The sequence below is a fragment of the Homo sapiens genome, chromosome 2, assembly GCF_000001405.40.
Source record: "Homo sapiens chromosome 2, GRCh38.p14 Primary Assembly".
Taxonomy (NCBI): Eukaryota; Metazoa; Chordata; class Mammalia; order Primates; family Hominidae; genus Homo; species Homo sapiens.
In genome coordinates, this window is record NC_000002.12 from 207,946,009 (window position 1) to 207,966,733 (window position 20,725).

The 20,725-nt window shown below is 40.3% G+C and overlaps 1 protein-coding gene across 8 annotated transcripts in view; it reads right to left on the bottom strand.

The window, feature by feature from the left end:
- PLEKHM3 (pleckstrin homology domain containing M3) overlaps nucleotides 1-20,725 on the bottom strand; it is a 204,240-nt gene that overhangs the window by 124,721 nt on the left and 58,794 nt on the right. For all 8 annotated transcript variants that reach the window (XM_017004073.2, XM_005246545.4, NM_001080475.3 and 5 more), the window contains one exon: nucleotides 359-504. In XM_017004073.2, the coding sequence (XP_016859562.1) occupies nucleotides 359-504 (146 nt within the window). The remainder of the gene's footprint in view (nucleotides 1-358; nucleotides 505-20,725) is intronic.

The following is a 20,725-nucleotide window of genomic DNA, read 5'->3' on the forward strand; positions in this document are numbered from 1 at the left end:
CTAGCATGTTCATGCATGTATTATTTTCCCATTTTTATCTTCCCATAGTGTTGTAATGTTGAAGATAAGATCAAATAAAAAATAATAAAAGAGGCTCCTCTCTCTCAGAATTCTCTCTAGCACCAGAAGTAAAAACTGCTCTATATGTCTTTTTAAATGAGGAAACTAATAAGAGTCATAGTTAAGAAGCCTTTCAACTGTGAGATATATAAGAAGCATTAGGTAAGGTCTTGCAGCTTTTATGAGACTACCTAATCATATCTGCTTCAAATTGTTTGATCACCATCTTTATAATCCACCTGAGAACATATGAACACCTGAATTATTATTATTAAGTGAACTGAGTTTTTGTACCTACCTTATACTTTGAAGTATCCCAGTTGTGGACTATGCGTGCTGGAATGAGAAAGCTGTCATCCACGTGGCAGCTACTGCAGTAATACCACCCACTGTAGTTGCACACCTTGGCTTTCCCATTGGAAAGACCTATGGATCGCTGGCAGCCTGTTCAAGGAAAAAGGAAGAGTCTATGATTGCTGTTGTACTTTTAACACTACAGAACAAGGTTATAGAGCTCTAACATCACAGAACAAGGTTATATTTCATTTACCTAGTCTGCAACAAAAAAGAAGTTACAGATAATAGAGTTGTACAGTTGTGTCCTCTTCTTCCTAGTCTGACAGCCTGTCCCTTCACCTCCTAGGGTATTGCTGTAAGGGTCATCAACTGGTCCCCTGTCTCTGGTTTCTTCTGATTCCATCTCTTCTGCATACAGCTGCCAGAGATCAGTCTCTCTACAACCTCGCCTTTATCTCCTCACTGCCCTGCTCAGAACTCCATTTCCACCAGGCACTTTGCTGAAGGCATCTCATACAGAATCTTGTTTAACCAGCACCACTTCTCTATGAGGAAGATATTATTAATTCTATTTTATAGATGAAGAATCTAAGATTTTTATGAGGTTAAGTATCTTGTCTGAGTTCACCCAGTCAAAAAAAGCCAGAGTTTGGATTTGGCTCTAAATTGGATGCTAAAATAATCCCCAAAACTGTTATGTAGCCTTCCTTTGCTTACCAAATCATTGTAAGGAATTTGGCCTCTGATTGGCTCCATCTCACTTTTCTAACTTTCCCTCCCACTACTGTCCAATGGGAACGTAATCACTTTATTCCAGTCAGAGAACTCTCCTCATTGTTCCCCAAATAAACACAGCATGCTTACTCCACCCTCCATATATTCACATGTATTACCTCTCCTTACACAGCACCCTCTTCTCTGCTCTTTACTTCAACAAATCTTGCCCAAGATTACTGGTTGCCTACAATGCCCTTTTCAGATCTAAGAAAGTCCATGACTCTGTGAGCGCTGTCTTGGTACTGTCAGCGAACCTGGTAATAATCATAGCCCTTCCATAGGGAAGCCATTCGTTTTCTTTAGATAGGAAGAACTACCTTCTACTGAGTATGTAAATTCCATCACAATCATCCCCAAGGACAAAATCCTGGCAGATCCAGAACAGGTCATCAAGAATACACAAACAGCATCATTAATCTGACATTTCTGGTCTACAGCTTTCATTTTAGAAATCCTTCCATGTGGCCCATTTTATGGTTGGGTGCCAAGAACTATATGGATCAAAGAGATCTCGCACTAAGCCTATTTCATGAAGTGGGGCAAAAATGAATTACTCTTTCAGTACTACTACAATTACTACTACAACTACGACAACTACTACTAGTACTAATAATATAATGATCAGTGTTGTAACCCTTTCCATTACAAGGAGGTCAAATACATTTACTTAACGAACTACCAACCTAAGAAGATTCTGATTCACATGAACTCCATGAATGAAAGTATCACAAGACTCAACAGAACTTTCATTTTCATCACAAATACAATGGCATCAGTAATTAAGCAGTTTCCCAGTGCATCCTCTAGAAAGAGAATTAGATCTCATTGTTTTTAAATACATGAGAAATGGGAAGAAGATAAGTAAATATATTAGTATTAGGCTTCCAGAGCTTGATCCAGTTCCTTTCTAGAATGGCTATTTCTTTACTATTGAGCAGCAAAAAAAAAATCATAACAAGCTCCTGTTCTTCAGACTGGCTAAGGAATGAGAAATGTGTGAAAGATGAGTTAGAACCAACACACATGTAGCTCCTGATTGACAAAGGACATCTTGCCACAGTCACAGGGCTGTCTGCGAATGTTGGAATGCTGTTCACTGCACTCACTGACTGCATTACTCATTTGGCATTTAGCGCGTGCCTCTTTAAATTATCATGCCTTTTTATGGGCTTGTCCAACCAGGACCACACTAGAAACTCCTCAGATCTTTTTTTTTTTTTTTTTTTTTTTTGAGACAGAGTCTCACTCTGTTGTCCAAGCTGGAGTGCAGTGGCACCATCTCAGCTCACTGCAAACTCCACCTTCCGGGTTCAAGCGATTCTCCTGCCTCAGCCTCCCGAGTAGCTGGGACTACAGGCACGTGCCACCATGCCCAGCTAATTGTTGTATTTTCTATTTTTTTTGTTTTTTTTTTTTTTTGAGATGGAGTCTTGCTCTGTCACCCAGGCTGGAGTGCGGTGGCGCGATTTCGGCTCGCTGCAACCTCCGCGTCCCGCGCTCATGCCATTCTCCTGCCTCAGCCTCCCGAGGAGCTGGGACTACAGACGCCCGCCACCACGCCCGGCTAATTTTTTGTATTTTTAGTAGAGACGGGGTTTCACCACGTTAGCCAGGATGGTCTCGATCTCCTGACCTCGTGATCCGCCCGCCTCGGCCTCCCAAAGTGCTGGGATAACAGGCGTGAGCCACCGCGCCTGGCCAAATTTTTGTATTTTCAGTAGAGACGGGGCTTCGCTATGTTGGCCAGGCTGGTTTTGAACTCCTGACCTCGTGATCCGCCTGCCTTGGACTCCCAAAGTGCTAGGATTACAGGTGTGAGCCACCATGCCCGGTCCAGATCTTTTTTTTATCCTCAGCACTTAATACAGAGCTTTACAAATAGCAGACAATCAATAAATATTTATGTTAAAGGGATGATAAACTGAGTACTATCTGGCACATGTACACTCACATAAACTGTATATATATACAGAAATTTTAATTTTCCGTAGTGATTCCAAAACTGATCCTCTTAACCTGATCACCTGCTTCTGAAAACAGCCTTTCATTAATATCGCTGTTAAAATATGTTGCCCATTCTAAGAACTATATATTACCCATGTTCACATAGGAACCATGGAACTGGCTAGGCATAGTAGCTCACACTTGTAATCCTAGCACTTTGGGAGGCCAAGGCCGGTGGATTGCTTGAGCCCAGGAGTTTGAGACCAGCCTGAGCAACATGGTGAAACCCCATCTCTACAAAAAAATTAGTGAGGTGTGGTGGCATGGGCCTGTAATCCCAGCTACTGGAAGGCTGAGGTGGGAGGAGCACTTGAACCTAGGAGGTCAAGGCTGCAGTGAGCTGTGATCATGCCACTGCACTCCAGCCTGAGTGATAGAGGAAGGCTCTGTCTCAAAAGAAAAAAATTTTTTAAAAAGAAAGAAAGAATGAACTGTGGAACAGAGTTCAGTGGAACTTAATATATCCTAGACAGTGGGATACTGCTATTTCCAAAAATTAGTAGACAAATTGACTGAACACTAAAATGACACTGAGTAGAATCCAATCCTTCCTAATGACTTAAAAGGTGACCATGATATTGCAGAAATTCAGGATCATCATTATAGTTTAAATTCTCACCAAAGAACACTAAAAAAAATTTTTTTTGATATAACAGACATCAGTAAGCATTTGCTGGATATTTATATATTCCCTAGTAGGCACTACTGGATTTATCTGTCTATAATTTTAATGAGCTTATTCTAATTTTCTGGATGCAACACACATAGGCAATATTAACATACACAAACATGCATTTTAAGAAAGCCTATAGCCTAAGAATGTTCACATCAACCGGGCACACAGATCCAAAGCTCACCATGCTGGGGGATCAACTCAGTTAACTAACTGAGTTAAACATCCTCGCAACTATGTACAGGTCTCCAGGCTCATAAAAGACAGAGATGAGAGAACATGGATAGGGTCCATTCAGGTTTTAGTTTGGACAAAAGCAGCAGCACATAAACACCTACCTTTAGTCCTTGGGTGTCTTTACTTTCATACTTTATTTAGAACCAGGCTATCCTACTCCTGGTGCTGAAATCACCCTAATGACCCAGAAGTAGGTTTGAACCTGTCTGCATGCTCAGAACTACTTTAGGCACATGGTATACAGACCGTCACTAGTCTAAAGGCAGGAAGCCTGAGTCTGTTCTTGCCTAGGCACCACTGTGACCCTGACCATCAAATTATCTAGGCCTTGCTTCCTCACCACAAAATAAACGTGTTAGCTTTAATTGGTGAATTGCCAAATTTGAGTGAGCAATGGAATTTTCTGCAGACGTTTGTGAGAAATATGGACCCTTCTTCCCACTGAGATGATTTTGACTCTGTAGATCTTGGGTAGGGACCAGAAATCTGCATTTCTAATGAAATGAGCATCCTCCCCCTCCCATCCTATCCCCAACCCACACGCGGGACGTTGACGGGTAAAAGCTGAGGATTGCTCCCTGATTTCTAGGTGACCTCCAAGGTCCCTCGAGCTCTAAAATTCTGCTTCTATTCAACAAAAGTGCAGAGGGGGTGCAGACTGCTCAGTGAAAAGCTCAGAATTTGTCACACAGTTTACCCTCTAGGCTTCAAAAAAATCAATATTTTAGGTACTTAGTCAATTTCTAAAAAACTGGCTATGTAGAAACAACCTGACTTCATTTTACCAGTGTTTTTCCAGAGCATTCTTGTCTCCACTGGGAGTATCCTATTCACTTTAAAAAGAATGAAAACGTTTAACCCCCAAATCCAAAGTATTTGTATTTGAAAGAACACAGAATGGTTGGAAAAGAAGATTAGAGGCTAGTTAGTGGCCTGATGTAGATTCATTTTCTAAAAAACAACACATGCCATTTATTTGAAGAAGGAAACACGAGTTTTTTCAATTAACTGCAAGATTTCCTTTACTATCAGAGTAGCAAATCATGGACTAAAAATGTCTGAAACAATTCCCCATAAAAATACACAATCTGGGATTTTACTTTATCATTGTGGGGTTTTTAACAGGGAAAATTTTTTCTTAATAATCACTGTTACAAAAAACCATTTTTTTAGAGAGTGTCAAAGCTGGACTCTGAAAAGCGACATTATGGGAAGAAAAATAGAGCTGTAAAGTAGAGACAAAAAATAATTAATTGAAATAACTAATTAGGGCTTATTTACATATTATATTTTTATGTACTTTCAAACAGACTTTTCAGCAATGTTTCTAAATTAAAGGGCATTTGTAGTAAAGAACACTCCACATGTTGGATCAAAGCAAATACATTCTTCCCAGACTCTTTTTGAAACTTTTCAGAGTGTATTCAATTCATAGGAACAAAAAACTATCTCACCAGAGAACCCACTGGCCTTTTTTTTATTATTGCTTCCCACTCCACTTCAAATCTTTAATGAACACATGCTCTGAAGAGCTTAGCCTCCCCTCTGATACACTCTTGGAAACAAATGTCACCATTTAACCAAAATCCTATTTGCTGCACGTACAGTCCATTTCCCAAATGGCCTTTCACTAAATACACCCAAAAGAATCTGTTGCTGGGGGTTGTGCAGAATTTTGGCATACTTCTCCACAAAAGCACCATCTTTCTTCTAACAAGTGTACCTAGTTAACTCAACTGGCTGCAGTTGTTGTTACTGAAGCTGCGATCTTGAGGAAGAGCCAGCCACTTTCTCTCTACTTTACGACTATTACCTTCAGTTCTCCTTTCCCTGACCAGCAGTTGGAAAACTCATGGGCTAAGAGGGAAGAATGAGAAAGCTGTGGCTGGATCCAACTGAATCTCTCTCACTAAGGAAGGACCTCATACAGTGCTAAGTGTGGTCAGTTATGCCACCCACTTTCCATCTCTTAAAGTAAGCTTTTACCTAATTCAGTAAGGTAAATCCAGTCTTTTGCATTTAGAAGGTAGAAACGCTCTAGGAAAAGAACAAGGGCAAATAAAAAAGAAAAGAAGGTGCCTTTGTAAAAGGAAGGAAAAGAGATAAAGAGGGTGAGAAGACACATTGTCGTTTTCTCTGTAAAAATAGAAAAAAATATCTGGCGAGTTTCACATCCTCTTTTATTTTATGCACTAAGTAGGGAGAGATGTCCACAGGAATGAGCAAGGGGACTTCCCTGTCCCTCCTTCCATCCCTCCATTTTCCTGGCTGGGGACAGTGAGCTGCAGTAAGCACTGTGTAAAATGTTGCTTGAAGGCCTAGACTTTGATCATATGCTCTTCAGACCAGATTTCCCAAAATGAAGAAAAATAGACATGCAGGTTCAAGGACTTGCTATTTTACAAGGATTAGGGGTTAAAGTCATAAATAACTTAGCTTTCCTAGCTTATAGTCTCTAACCATTGGCTCATTAAGTAGTGAAATTTTGAACCTGTACTTTAAAAAATAAGGTATTACATTTGGTATACAATTCAAAGTCCTCCCTGGGATTAGCACAAAGTTGGGCACAGTGTTTAAAGAAAGGATTATTTGACACAGGGCACAAGCAATTTTTGCAATGTAGCTTTGAGGTCCATTAAAGGAAGTAGAGGCAAAGCAAACCTGGGCCCCATATTTGCATCCTCCACTGTCAGAGGGAACAGAGCTGAAATTTGAGACTGACCACACATATGTAGTCTGAAGTTAACATGGTGAAACTGAAGCTATAGAATTCTACATAACTGTAAAGTAGAAAGGGGGTAAAGAGTGAGGGACACTGAGAAACATCTACTCAAAAATCAGTGATCCAATACTTTTTGCATCCCAAGCATCCAAGTTATTCTGTCTTTGGGACAAGGTGGTGACCCATAAAGTAGGAGCTATCTGTTTAGCCATAAATCAATTAAGACATTAAACATTTGGATGGAGAATCAGGCACATGCCATTAAGTATACGTTCTGTCGGTTACAAAGCAAATAGTATCCACAGCATCTCAAATAAAACTAAAGGAACAATAGGGGAAATCCGGAAAAAATCAATTGCGTGCCACGTGTAATTGCTAATGCGGATAGTATGGCATGCAGCTGATAGTCTTTGGGTTGAGTTCATGGACTTTAGACTGCAACACTTCAAAATTATTTTCTCCATAAGCCTTTAAGTCCCTTCATAGTGAATTCTCTTCCCAGGAGTTGAAAACTTCACAGTTGGGAGGAAATACACATGCTCAAATACAATCCTGAAATGTACTGATGGTTGTTTCCAAAGCTACACAAAAATTCATTTCTGTTCATCAGAATTTTTTTTTTCTGATGGGCTTCGTTTTATGTTCATCTACAAATTTTATAGCAGTGAGAGATTATATATGAGAAATTGTCATTCCTTGTTGGCTGAAACTGACTCATAAATTTCCGCTGCACAAGCCGGGTGTGGTGGCTCATGCCTATAATCCTTTGGGAGGCTGAGGTGGACAGATCTCTTGGGGTCAGGAGTTTGAGACCAGCCTAGCCAACATGGTGAAACCTCTACTAAAAACAGCATGGTGAAACCCCTACTAAAAACACAAAAATTAGCTGGGTGTGATGGCACATGCCTGTAATCCCAGCTACATGCCTGTAATCCCTGCTTTTCCTGGGGCAGGAGAATTGCTGGAACCTGGGAGGCAGAGGCTGCAGTGAGCTGAGATTGTGCCACTGTACTCCAGCCTGGGCCACAAAGCAAGACTCTGTCTACAAAAAAAAAAAAAAAAGAATAAAGTTCCACTGCACAGAGAGCTGACATGTTAAAAACCATGTTCCTACCATGGGTGACACACATTTAGGTTAACTTCAGCTGGCACTTGTAGAATGGACTACTGCTATAGCTAGGACAGCTCTGTCCTTAAGAATCTCATAGAAGTAAGTAACTCCTCCTAGACACACTGAATGTACCTAACCAAAGAATTTCCAGCCAGGCACTGGTGGCTCACACCTGTAATCCCAGTACTTTTGGAGACCAAGATGGGAGGATTGCTTGTGGCCAGGAGTTCGAGGTTATAGAGAGCTATGATCGCACCATGGCACTCCAGCTTGGGCAATAGAGTGAGGCCCCATTTTTTCCAAAAATTTCTAAAAAATTAGCCAGGTGTGGTGGTCTGCACCTGCAATCCCAGCTACTTTGGAGGCTGAGGCAGGAGAATACCTTGAGCCCAGGAGTTCGAGGGTTCAATGAGCTATTATTGTACCACTGCACACCAACCTAAGTGACAGAACGAGACCCTGTCTCTAAAAACCCTGTCAACACAACAATATGGCAAATATTATGTTTGTAAAGTATTAGTACTGTGCTGAGACACAGTGAATGTTCAATACACATTATATCTAGAGAGAGAGACAAGAACAGACAGATGCATGAAACAGAGATCAAAACCAACAGACATAAACTGTCCAAGACAGAGGCCATCTATGACGTATAATCATGTATTAGTAGATTATACTTGCAGAACTAAGGCAACCAAAAAAATAAAATCAATTCAGATTAGAAACTCCAATCTGAATACTAATTGGTTTAAAATGTAAAGCAATTCTATAAGCTATTAAGAGTTATTTGGGTTTTCCCCCTCTGAATATTTAAATAGCTAAGTCAGCTTTGACATGTAGGACCTACGTTGTGTTAACAGTGCTAGAGGTACTATATTTAAATAAGAAATGAAGTGAAAATCACATGTCAAGTAATTACTGCTGACTGAAAATATAAACTTGCTAAACTCTACAATGTTTATTTAATCTCATGGAATGTTGTTATTAAGATTATAAATCGTGTGAAATAAATTAATAAATACCAAGTAGATTCCAACTCAAGTTGAGAAGTGTCAAGATTTATTGGTCTTTCAGGTAAACAATGATTGAGAACCTAAAGTCAATATTTAGTCAAAATTTATCTTGAAAGGCAATAAATCTTGATTTTTGCTAAAGCACGTAAGTAAATATGTACACCATTTTAGAGAATCTGACTGCTTTCTATGAAATATCTACCCCAAAAGTTGTAAGTATAATGATCTGTAATACAGATTTTCACTTCCGAAGACATGACTTGAGTTGTTGAGTTACTTTTAATTTTTCTTAGGATAAGATGCTTCAATAGTGCTTTTATTGGTGTAAGATAAGTTTAATATTAATAATAAAATCTTACAAATTCAGCTTCTAGTATATTGAAATCAGTCTAAACTTAGTATTTTTTTCATCCTGTTTTTTTCCTAACAGTCTATGACTAGACTTTCTCATTTACTTCTATGTTCTTTCCCCAAAGTCTTTCAAGAAAATGGTAAGCAATTTAAAAATAAAAATAAATAAATAAGAACTAAGCAAATGGATAAACACATTATAAGCAAACACCTTATGTAAGACAGGCTTACTATAAGCCAGGCACTGTCATAACTACTTTACATACACACAAACGAACATATGTAAATACATGTGTATGTCTCTGTTCATTTAATCCTCATACCAATTCTATGAGGTAGGTATTATGCCCATTTTACAGAATAAGAAACTGAGGCAGAAGATGAAAAAGTAATTCTGTCCACTGTTGTACAGCTGCTTAAAAGGCAGAGCCTAATAAAAGTGGCAATGTGGCATTTTCAGGTAGTTATCTCCTTTTGTAAGACATTAGAAAAACTGTCCCCTGCAGATGACAAAACAAGGACAAAAACTATGAATCAATTTACATAAAAGAACATAATTTAGCTCATCAATGAATATAGCCTGGGACATCACAGGCATTAGCATCACCTCTGAAGATGAAGGGTGAGGGGAAGAAGAATACAAATCTATAAAGTAAACAGCAGAAGATAAGAGATGAGGAAAGGAGGAAGCAATCACTATTGTGGAGATCGAGGAAGGCTGTGTCGACACAGGGGCATTTGAGCTGGGTCTTGAAGAAGAGAAGAGATTTTGGAAAAGGAACGTTCATTCATAAAGGCTCAAGTCAGAAAAATGGAAGCACCTTTGGAAACACTGGATATTCTAGTTGTCTGAGGCTCATTGTAAATAGAGGAGTATGAAGAAAAGAGCTTGGAATGATAAAGTGAAGCTAGAACATAAGAATCCTGAGTGCTCAGAGTGAGAAGTCCTAATTAATAAGATATAGCACTTTGGGAGGCTAAGGCAGGCAGATCACGAGGTCAGGAGTTTGAGACCAGCCTGGCCAACATGGTGAAACCCCATCTATACTACAAATACACACAAAAAAAAATTAGCCGGGCGTGGTGGTGGGTGCCTGTAGTCCCAGCTGCTTGGGAGGCTGAGGCAGGAGAATCACCTGAACCCAGGAGGCGGAGGTTGCAGTGAGCCAAGATTGAACCATTGCACTCCAGCTTGGGCAACGGTATGAGACTCCATCTCAAAAAAAATAAAAAAAGATATAGGAACAACCAGAGTTTGAAGCAGAGTAGCAAAGTAAACTTAAAAAAAAAATTTTTTTTTTTAAATTTTGGAGACAAGGTTTTACTCTGTCACCCAGCCTGGAGTACAGTAGTACAATCATGGCTCATTGCAGCCTCAACCCCCTGGGCTCAAGTGATCCTCCCACCTCAGCCTCCTGGGTATCAAAGGTTACAGGTGCATGCCACCACACCTGGCTGATTAAAATTTTTTTTTTTTTTTTTTTTTTTTTTTTGCAGAGACCCAGGGGTCTTGCTATGTTGTGCAAGGCTGGTGTTGAACTCCTTTCCTTAAGCTATCCTCCCGCCCTGGCCTCCCAAAGTGCTGGAATTACAGGCATGAGCTACCATGCCCAGCTGCAATGTACGCTTTGAAAAGATTAATTAGCAAGAAAAGCTGGAAGGGGAGGGAACTAGTTGATAAGTTACTGCACCAGTTTGACTTGATTAGGTGGTGGTCTTGGAAACAGGAAGAAAGAAAGAGAAGGAGATAGCATGGGGACAAAATGCAGATGATCTGGCAACTGACAGACGTTGGGGGCATGCAAAGGGACTGTTAAAGATGCTCATGATGTTTCAAGCCTGTGACTCATGTGAGAAATCCATCAATTAGAAGGAGCAGGTGGTTTGGGGGAGAAAATGCTATTTGAAGCATTTAATCCAAAAAACATAGTTCAAAAAATTTGAGCTACCAGATCTACTGATGCTTAAAGCTCAGGTGATTAAGAATAATCCCCCTTATTGTAAAAATCAGTTTGAATTGTATATTCTGTTAGTTGCTACTGAAAGCATTTGATATACTTGATATCAAATGATGGTTGGTGAAGGTCCTATTTTTATAACCTACTACTTTCACTTAAATTTACGTAAGATGCAGAGGTCTTAGATTATAAAACATTATGTGGTGGCTGGGCGCGGTGGCTCACGCCTGTAATCCCAGCACTTTGGGAGGCCGAGGCGGGTGGATCATTAGATCAGGAGTTCAAGACCAGCCTGGCCAACATGGCAAAACTTTGTCTCTACTAAAAATACTAAAAATTAGTTGGGTGTGGTGGCAGGAGCCTGTAATCTCAGCTGTTTGGGAGGCTGAGGCAGGAGAATTGCTTGAACCCAGGAGACGGAGGTTGCAGTGAGCCAAGAATGTGCCATTGCACTCCAGCCTAGGTGACAGAGCGAGACTCTGTCTCAAAAAACAAAACAAAAAAAAAGTATGTGGTATGAAATAATCAACATCTATTTCAGCAGAAGACATTAATTAATTTATAAAGAAGTGAGAAAAAGCTAGATGAAGAAAAGAAGACATCATTGTAGGCCTTGACCTTTGGTAGCACAGCGATTCTCAACCAAGGGAGATTGTTGTCCCAACAGGGGATATTTGTAATGTCTGCAGACATTTTTGGTAGGATGGGTGGGTAAGCTACTGATATCTTAAGGATGAAGGCAAGGAACATTGCTAACCATCCTACAATGCACAAGACATCCCTCCACAACAAAGAGGTATCTGGCCTAATATGTCAATAACGCCACTGTTGGAAAAACCCTATGACAACAGAAAGACAGGAGGGCAAAATAAGAGATGAATATGCTGATCTTACTTAATCACTTTTCTCTGCTAGCAATGGATATACCATCTATTACGGGAAGGAGGAAAAGCCCTTTCACCAGTTCTACTTTCTTACCTTAAAAAATTATTTATGCTGGTAGGTTAAATTAGTGTCATGAAAAAGAGGCACCATCATCTACTAGACTACCTGCTAGTAACATCTGCTCCAAGCTTGGCTCTTTTCTTCACAAATTAATCTTGGTGAAACACTGCTCACCAAGAACTCTTACTTGAAAAACAAGTGCATAAACAGGGCTCAGCTGAGCTGATGATTTCAGACATGAAAGCTGGTAGTGGTGGATGGAAAGAATGCTTCTTGTCATAGTTGACCTCCCTCTTTCTCTATCAGTTCTATTTTCAACATGGGGCTACCAGGATTCTCTATATATTCTCCTGCAATCTCAGACAGGAAAGGAAGGTCAATCTCACCATCCTTGAAACAAGACAAATGCTGGGCTGGGCTACTTGAAGCACTGAGAGCTTCAGGGGAAGATGTCTAATTAAATAAACTCTTGACTGGATGTGGTGGCTCACGCCTATAATCCCAGCACTTTGGGAGGCCGAGGTGGGCGGACCACCTAAGGTCCGGAGTTCGACAGCAGCCTGACCAACATGATGAAATCCCGTCTCTACTAAAAATACAAAAATTAGCCAGGCATGGTGGCACACGCCTATAATCCCAGCCACTTGGGAGGCTGAGGCAGGAAAATCGTTTGAGCCCATGAGGCAGAGGCTGCAGTGAGCTGAGATTGCACCACTGCACTTCAGCCTGGGCAACAGAGTGAGTGAGACTCCATCTCAAAAATAATAATAATAATAATAAAATAAAATAAACTATCTTACTGGAATGTTTCTCTGAACCAGTGCCAAGCCATATTAGAACCCGAGACAAAAGGAGAAATCAGGAATTCTAATCCTGTCTCTAGTTAAGCTTTTATATTTTGTTCATCATGGACTTTTTACATTAATTTTGATTTTTAAAGAATATCATATTAACATATTTTTAAAATCTTTATTACAAAGGGTTTTTCAGCACTTCCTTAAATTCTGTACCCAAAGCACATGCCTCTCTCACCTTACCCTAGTCCCAGTCCTGTTCTGAACACTTTTGCCTCACAGAGAATCCAATGTATGCTGCACTTAACATTTTCTACAGTGATTTCCCCTGGTATTTAGCATTATATTAAACCACTACTAACTCTCTTTTTGTGATTCCCCAGTTACATCTCTCTTTTATGATTGCTTCAAAAGGCCAAGAACCTCCTATTGGCTTAGAGGTTCAGATTATTTTGGGGGGTTACCTGAAAAGCAACCTGTCTTTTCTTACTGTTTCTGGAACTAACATTTTCTCCCAGCTTGGATTTATTTAGAAGTCGCTTCTTACATCAGTCTCCTCCACTCTGTAGCTTCTATCACATACAGTGTCCTACCAGGGTCCCCTCTGACTTCTCTTTCATGCCACTCCCCATTCCTAATGCCTGCTTCTCTTTCCTCATATTTTAGGAGAGTCTCATCTCTTTGAACTTTACAGTATCCTGAAAACAAAACCTGTCCTCTCCTTTGCTAAAACCTCCTAAAAAACCCTGACAGCATTTCTTAGAGTAATTCTACTTGAGCCATTTTGGTAATGATAACAATTTGATAAAATTAAAGTCATAAGAGTGGATCCGAGTAGTGCTAGGAACAGTCTCAAAGTGAAAAAGATTACTTTCATCAGCTTCCTTTAAATCCATGCTTGAATTTCTTCGTTTTCACCCCAACCAAATTATTTATGTTGTACAAGATTTAGGGACTGTCTTGGTGTATTTTCTCTTCCTTTATTCTTTTCCCTTTCACCTTCTTTCCAGGCTTTTCTATCTTTTTAGAAGCACATGTTTGTGACTACCTCCAAAGCTAATCTTTTAACTATACATTTAGTATTTGCAATAAGCTATTTGTATCAGGTTATTTAGACTTACTAGGTAAGACACAAGTGGAAAACTCCTATTATCTGGAACTCCTGCTTCTGGGGAATTCCCTAGAGTGATATTCCTAGCTTCTCTCCCCATCCCTTATCCAGCCCTCCTCACAGATGGGGGAAATTAGGTATCTGACTGCTGAGTTAAGAAGAAGGACCCGGGCATGCTCAGCTTGGCCTTCAGGAAGCAGGTTTCTGTCTGCTATGATAAGAGGACATGATGGCCTTCAGGAAGCAGATTTCTGTCTGCTGTGGTAAGAGGACATCATGGCCTTCAGGAAGCAGGTTTCTGTCTGCTGTGATAAGAGGACATCACAGCCTTCAGGAAGCAGGTTTCTGTCTGCTGTGGTAAGAGGACATCATGCCCTTCAGGACTCCAGCTGTGGCCAGGTGAGTAAGTCCATCTAATTTAGGGGTCCACTCTATAATAATAAATGTGATCTGGAAGCAATATATGTGATATTTTAATCCCCATCTTCCTGCCTCTTGGCATAAGAAAGAAGAGGTATTATTCATTTATTAACCCTGTAAAACTCCTGCAAGGATGGTGGCCCACACAGACAGCATCTAATAATGGGAGTGGAGAGGAAAGGGAAAGGCACTCAGATGCATGTTGGTGGGTGACATTATTGAGAGATGAAGATCACACAGGAGAGTCGGGCTAAAGGGGCTGCCTGGAAACCTTTAGCATTATCAGGAAACTTTTACTCAAGTTAAAACTCCCTAGCCTAACAATGGATGAGAAACATCATTTTCCCAAAGGTTTTCCATCCATTATGAGGCCATAAGACGACTTCTCTTTATCTAAGAGATCATTTGGGGAGCCTCCCTGTAGTTTCTGGGGGAAAAAATTGCAGTGATGTACTAATTACTGAATTAGGATATGTCACTTTTGGTTCAACTGATATTTTCTAACATTTGAATTGTACATAGTCAAGACAGTTTAATCTTCCCTCAAAATAGTGTTGAAGAGGCTGACCCACAAGACTGTGAAAAGGCTGGCTCGGGGCCATATAATAAATCAGTGGCAGGACTATAAACAGAAGACCAAGCTCTTGTGCTCCTAATTTATTACTTATCCCACTGAGTGTGGATGCCTCCCAGCCACCACATCATGTGTGTCTATTATTTTGTCTGGTCTGGGGCTCAAGAAAAACATCTTTATTGATGAAGATGGAGAAGGAGACCAAGACTCAAACTAAGTCAATCCTCTGTGTCAGAGGTACAAGTCTGCTGATTTAAAAGAGAAGCAATTTTCAGCAAAGTTTTTGGTTCAGCCCTACATGATTTACTTCCTTTATAGAAAAAATATGGGTAAGGCACAGTCCTTGGTACACTGATATATACCTAGTTAGAATGTGATTTTTCAATCTTTTGGAAATTGATACAAACCCATATGTCTTAGGTTTTAGAATCCTAGTTTCCTTCTGGAAGTGGTATATGGTAAGTACGACATTTTTTTTCAGTTAAAGGTAATAAATAAAATCAATTCTGTGGTTGCTTTTATATCCATTTAAGAAAGAAACACCTTCTATTTTTAGCCAAGATTTAAGAAGGATATCTGGGTTAGATAGTGGAGATCACAGAGTCACTGAGTGTGCTTGCCCATCGTCCCACCACTCTGAGTTGCGGCTCTGAGAGGGCTGCAGACAAGCTGAGCAGTCCAGAGCTGGTCAGTTTCTCGTCTGCTTGGTCCCAGAAGCACCCAAAAAGATATCACCAGAAATCTCCCTTCCCCAGGTGGATGCTGTCAGTGTTGGAAGTAGCTGACTGGAAATGAGGGAACAGGGCAAGTAGGCCAAAGCTTCCTCATTCTGTGGGGGGAAATTACACACATCATTCATCCTCCTTTCATCCAGGTTCCATTTTTGCTGTGGAAATGTCCATTCAATGTCCTGGGCTACTGTATAACAATTTGTCTAGTCTTTGTCCCTGATCTCTGGCAGGGAGCTTCTAAAACCCTTGGAATTTCCCCAAGTGATATGAATATCTTTGTTATTCACGAGCCCCTAAGATCACACCTGAGTTTATGCTAATGGTGAGTCATAGTGGGCCACTAAATAGCCTCAGAATGGGGGGTGGTCAACAGAAAGACCAACCACATGATTAGAGGGTTGGGACTTTGAGCCAGCCTGACCTCCAGGAAGGGGAAGGAGGCTGGATATTAAGTTCAGTTGCATGGCCAATGATTCAATCCATCATACCTACATAATGAAGCCCCAGTAAAAACTCAGGACACTGAAGCTCAGAGGAGCTTCCTCATTGATGATCATAACAATTTGATGGGAAGGTGATGCAGCCTGATTCCACAGACAGAGGGCACAGAAGTGCTGCATTTATGGCCCTCCCACACCTTACCTTCTAGTCTCTTCATTTGGCTGTTCCTGGTTTTTATCGTTTATAATAAAACTGCAATTGTATGTATAGCATTTTCCTGAGTTCTATGAGTTGTTCTAACAAATTATCAAACCTGAGGCGGGGTAGGAACCCTCAAATTTGTAGCCAGTCAGTCACTGTGCAGGTGGCCTGGGAACCCCCTGAACTTGCACTGGCATCTGAAGTGGGAGCAGTCTTGTAGAGGGCTGAGCCTTTAATTTGTGAGGTCTGTGCTAATTCCGGGTGGTCAGTGACAGAACTGTATTGCAGTATCTAATTGGAGTTGAAACAGATTATGTGCAAATAAACCGTGCAAATAAACTGACAGTGCAGTGCCCAGAGCAGGGGATTGTACCTTATATCTGAGGAACCCAGTCCTGCAGAGAGGGTATTATGGTTAAGTAAGTTAGGAAATGTTGTATACTTTTCTCTCACATTAGTAGAATAAAGGCTCTAAGAGGTCCTATAGTCAAAAATTAAAAAAAAAAAAAAAAAGACGTGCCCGGAAACTTGCAAGATTATAATTGGTTTGCTAAATAGGGAACATGTTAACTGTATCTACAGATGACTCCAACCTTGGATTCCTAGAAAAGATGGTGAAAGTAGGAAACCTAATGGTGGGTGTTGGGATGGCAGTTCAAGCATTACAGTGGAGAGAATCTGATAGGTCCTAAGTCAGTGTGCCGGGATGGAGAGGGTGTTTTTGAGAAAGTAACATTTACGTTAGTGGCCTGAAGAATGAGCTGGGGGTCGTGCTGGGGATGGCAATACTCTGAGGAAGCAACTGCATATGCAAAGGCTCTAAGGTGGGTGAGCAGAAAGTGGTGCATCTGAGGAACAGAAGAAAGCCAGTGTGGCTGGAACAGTGTGTAAGGGAGAAAGTGGCAAGAAGGCCAGAGTTGAAACTGAGGAGGTGGGCAGGGTCATTAAGGATGCTGGTCTTCATTCCAAAAGAAGTGGGAAGACACTGAAGAATTGTAAAGAGAAGACTATCAGGGGTCAATCTGAATTTTAATAAGATCACGCTTGCTGCAGTTGAGACAAGATTTAGAAAAAGTCAGAATGAAAGCAGGAAAACTGGTTAGAAGGTCACTATAGTCATCTTGGTGAAAGATGACCCAGCAGCAAATAAAGTGAGGGAGGTAAAGGAGATCTCAAAACTCAAACACCAACTATGTTTACCAAGTATAAAATAAAAATTAGGCATGATATTAGGATGTATTAAAAAGGAAGCTGGAATGTAGGTAAAGAATTCGGGCTAACTCCTTCCTTTCTTTATACTAGCCACCAGGTAGACCCTGTTAGAACATCATTGACATTTCCAGAATGTAAAGAAAACATGGAAACCTGGAGATGTTTCAGCAGATTGATACCCCAATGGCTAACATATTGAACATATATAGAAGAAATAGTTAAAGGAAATGTGCCTATATAAACTAGAGAAAACTCAAGTATGGGTTGACTCATTCACTAAGAACATCCTGGCTGGGCATGGTGGCTCACGCCTATAATCCCAGCAGTTTGGGAGGCTGAGGCCGGCAGATCACCTGAGGTCCGGAGTTTGAGACCAGCCTGGCCAATATGGTGAAACCCCGTCTCTACTAAAAATACAAAAATTAGCCAGGCGTGGTGGCACATGCCTGTAGTCCCAGCTACTCAGGAGGCTGAGGCAGGAGAATCACTTGAACCCAGGAGGCGGAGGTTGCAGTGAGCTGAGATCACGCCACTGCACTCCAGCCTGGGTGACAGAGTGAGACTCCGTCTCAAAAAAAAAAAAAGAACCTCCTATGGGCTAAACCATTGTTTCTCAAACTTCGTATGCACTCAAATCAATAGGAAAGCTTGTTTAAAAATCCCAGAGATTCTGATTTCAACAGGTCTGGGGAAGGGTCCAGTCATCCCTACCCAAATCATACTCATGATTCTAATGCAAATGATACTCAAATCACACTTTGAGAGATCCTGGGGTAGACACACTGGTGCTGGGGCCCTGCCCTCACAAAAGTAAAACGCAAAGTCATAGGCCCATGACAGGATTCCATGAGAGTGGAGGGAGGGAGGCTGCAAAGGAGAAATGTTCGATTATATCTGGAGCATTAGAATTAGGGGTGGAGGGGAAGGCGGTCAATAAAGTCTTGCAAAAAAAGTCTTTAGGGGTGTAAAAGATTTTTCACACCCAGAAGTCTTCAACAAAGTACAATGCAGAACCATAACGAACATGGTCAAACATCAGCTGTCCTCCTGATCTCACTGCTTTTCAGGCTTGCTCCATTTTTCACCTGAAAAAAGGGAGGGAGTTTCACGCTCTTTGGGTTTTTATTACTGTAATTTAATTAAAACTTTTTTATGTTAACATATTTCAAGGTATAAAGATGGATAGCCATACATACAGGCATTTATCCTACTGCAAAATTAACCTGTACTTTACCCCCACACCTCAATTTCTGGGACTGTGTGTGGTCCAAGTTTGCTGAATGTACAAATGATTAGATGAAAATATTAATGCAAGAAATAAGTTGGTACTGCTATATTACTAGATTTCCTTACCTAGTGGATATATTTTAAAATGGCAAGTTTTTCACTTAAGTATGTTTCTGTCTTCAGGGAGTATAATAGATTTTAGAAACTCTCAAGTAGCTTTTATTCTTAGGTCCATGAAAAGCTTAGTTTTTCAAGGAACTTAGCTAGAAATTAAGGAGAATCTTAACCTGCCCAAGTTTATCTTAAAACTGTACCTACACCAGTTTCTCTCCCAGTGAAAGGTCAGTAAATAAAAACTTTGAAGTCAATGTGGAATCCAATGGTACATTAACACTCTCTTTAGAAGTTACGCCGGAAATGAACACATGATGAGAACAATGTTAACCAAAAAGGAAGCTACAAAAAGGGACAAGAACTTTCCAGACCAAAGTATAGCAACAAAGACTAGGAGAAATGAACGGCTTAAAAAAAAAAAAACGACAGCACAGCTATGGCCTATGAAGTTCAGGAAGGTCCATCAAAAGATCTATATCTTCTGAAATTCAAAATGATTTTATTCTTCTGAAACATATCAAAGACCAACATGTGACTTCTATGATGAGAATACCAGGAATAAATCAAAAAAGCAAATTTATATCCTATAAAATCAAAGGGCCTACTTATATAAAGTGATCAAATCTCTTTGAATTTTAGGATATGAAATAGTTTAAAACACAAATTATATAACATTCTTCTTCCATAGACTCGCATTACTGCTTTAGTATGTATTCATATTCTTCTTATACATTTATTTTTATTTAAAATTATTTCCTGGCCTAGAAACTTAAGACTGCAAAAAGTAAAGTAATTTATTTAATGATAGACATCAGAGCCAGGAAAAGAATTTCCATGTCCTGTCTCCTTAGTCAATTGATATTTCTACTAGTTTAAGTTCTCTTCCCCAAAGGAAAAACGTATTACTTATTAAATAAAGTTTAAATGAAGGACCACATTAATCTCATTTTCTCTAACCCTCTATAGACATTCAAAGGATCACAAAATGAGAGATAAAAGGAACCACACAGAGCAAAGTCAGTCCCTCTAAAATATGCCAGACAGAGGTGGAAGAGTTGGAAGGAAAGTCTAAGACCTTTGAGTTCAACTGTGTGTTATAATTACTTATTTATTTGTCTGGCTTCCAGTTTTCAAATTCTGTAAGGACACAAAATGAGACTGATTGCCTTGTTCACTCTGCAGAAAGCATAGTGCTTAGCACATAGTAAGGCTTCCATAAACATTTGCAGAAAGGCTGAATGAATAAATCTCTATCCTGCAGATGAGAAAATTCTAAATCAGACAAGTTAAATGACTTGTCTTAAGGTCAAAATTCCAGGCCTCTTGCCATTCTACTCATTTTCACCCATGGCCATCAAGTTTTCTTAAATAAGAAAAAATACAATCCACTCTGCATATTTTTGTTACCTTGGCCCAACAGGATTACACATAGTAACCCTCTTTTCTCCTCTAAGTGACAGCCTTCAAACATGAGGGGATAATACTTGTGTCTTCCCTATTCTAGGTTACATTGATTTGCATGCTACGGTTTTTAGCTCCTTCACTATCACACATCAATAGATGTGGATGAGTATTTTTTCTTTTTTTTTGAGACGGAGTCTCCCTCTGTCGCCCAGGCTGGAGTACAGTGGCTCAATCTTGGCTCGCTGCAACCTCCACCTCCCGGGTTCAAGAGGTTCTCCTACCTCAGCCTCCCGAGTAGCTGGGACTACAGGTGCCTGCCACCATGCCCGGCTAATTTTTTTTTATGTC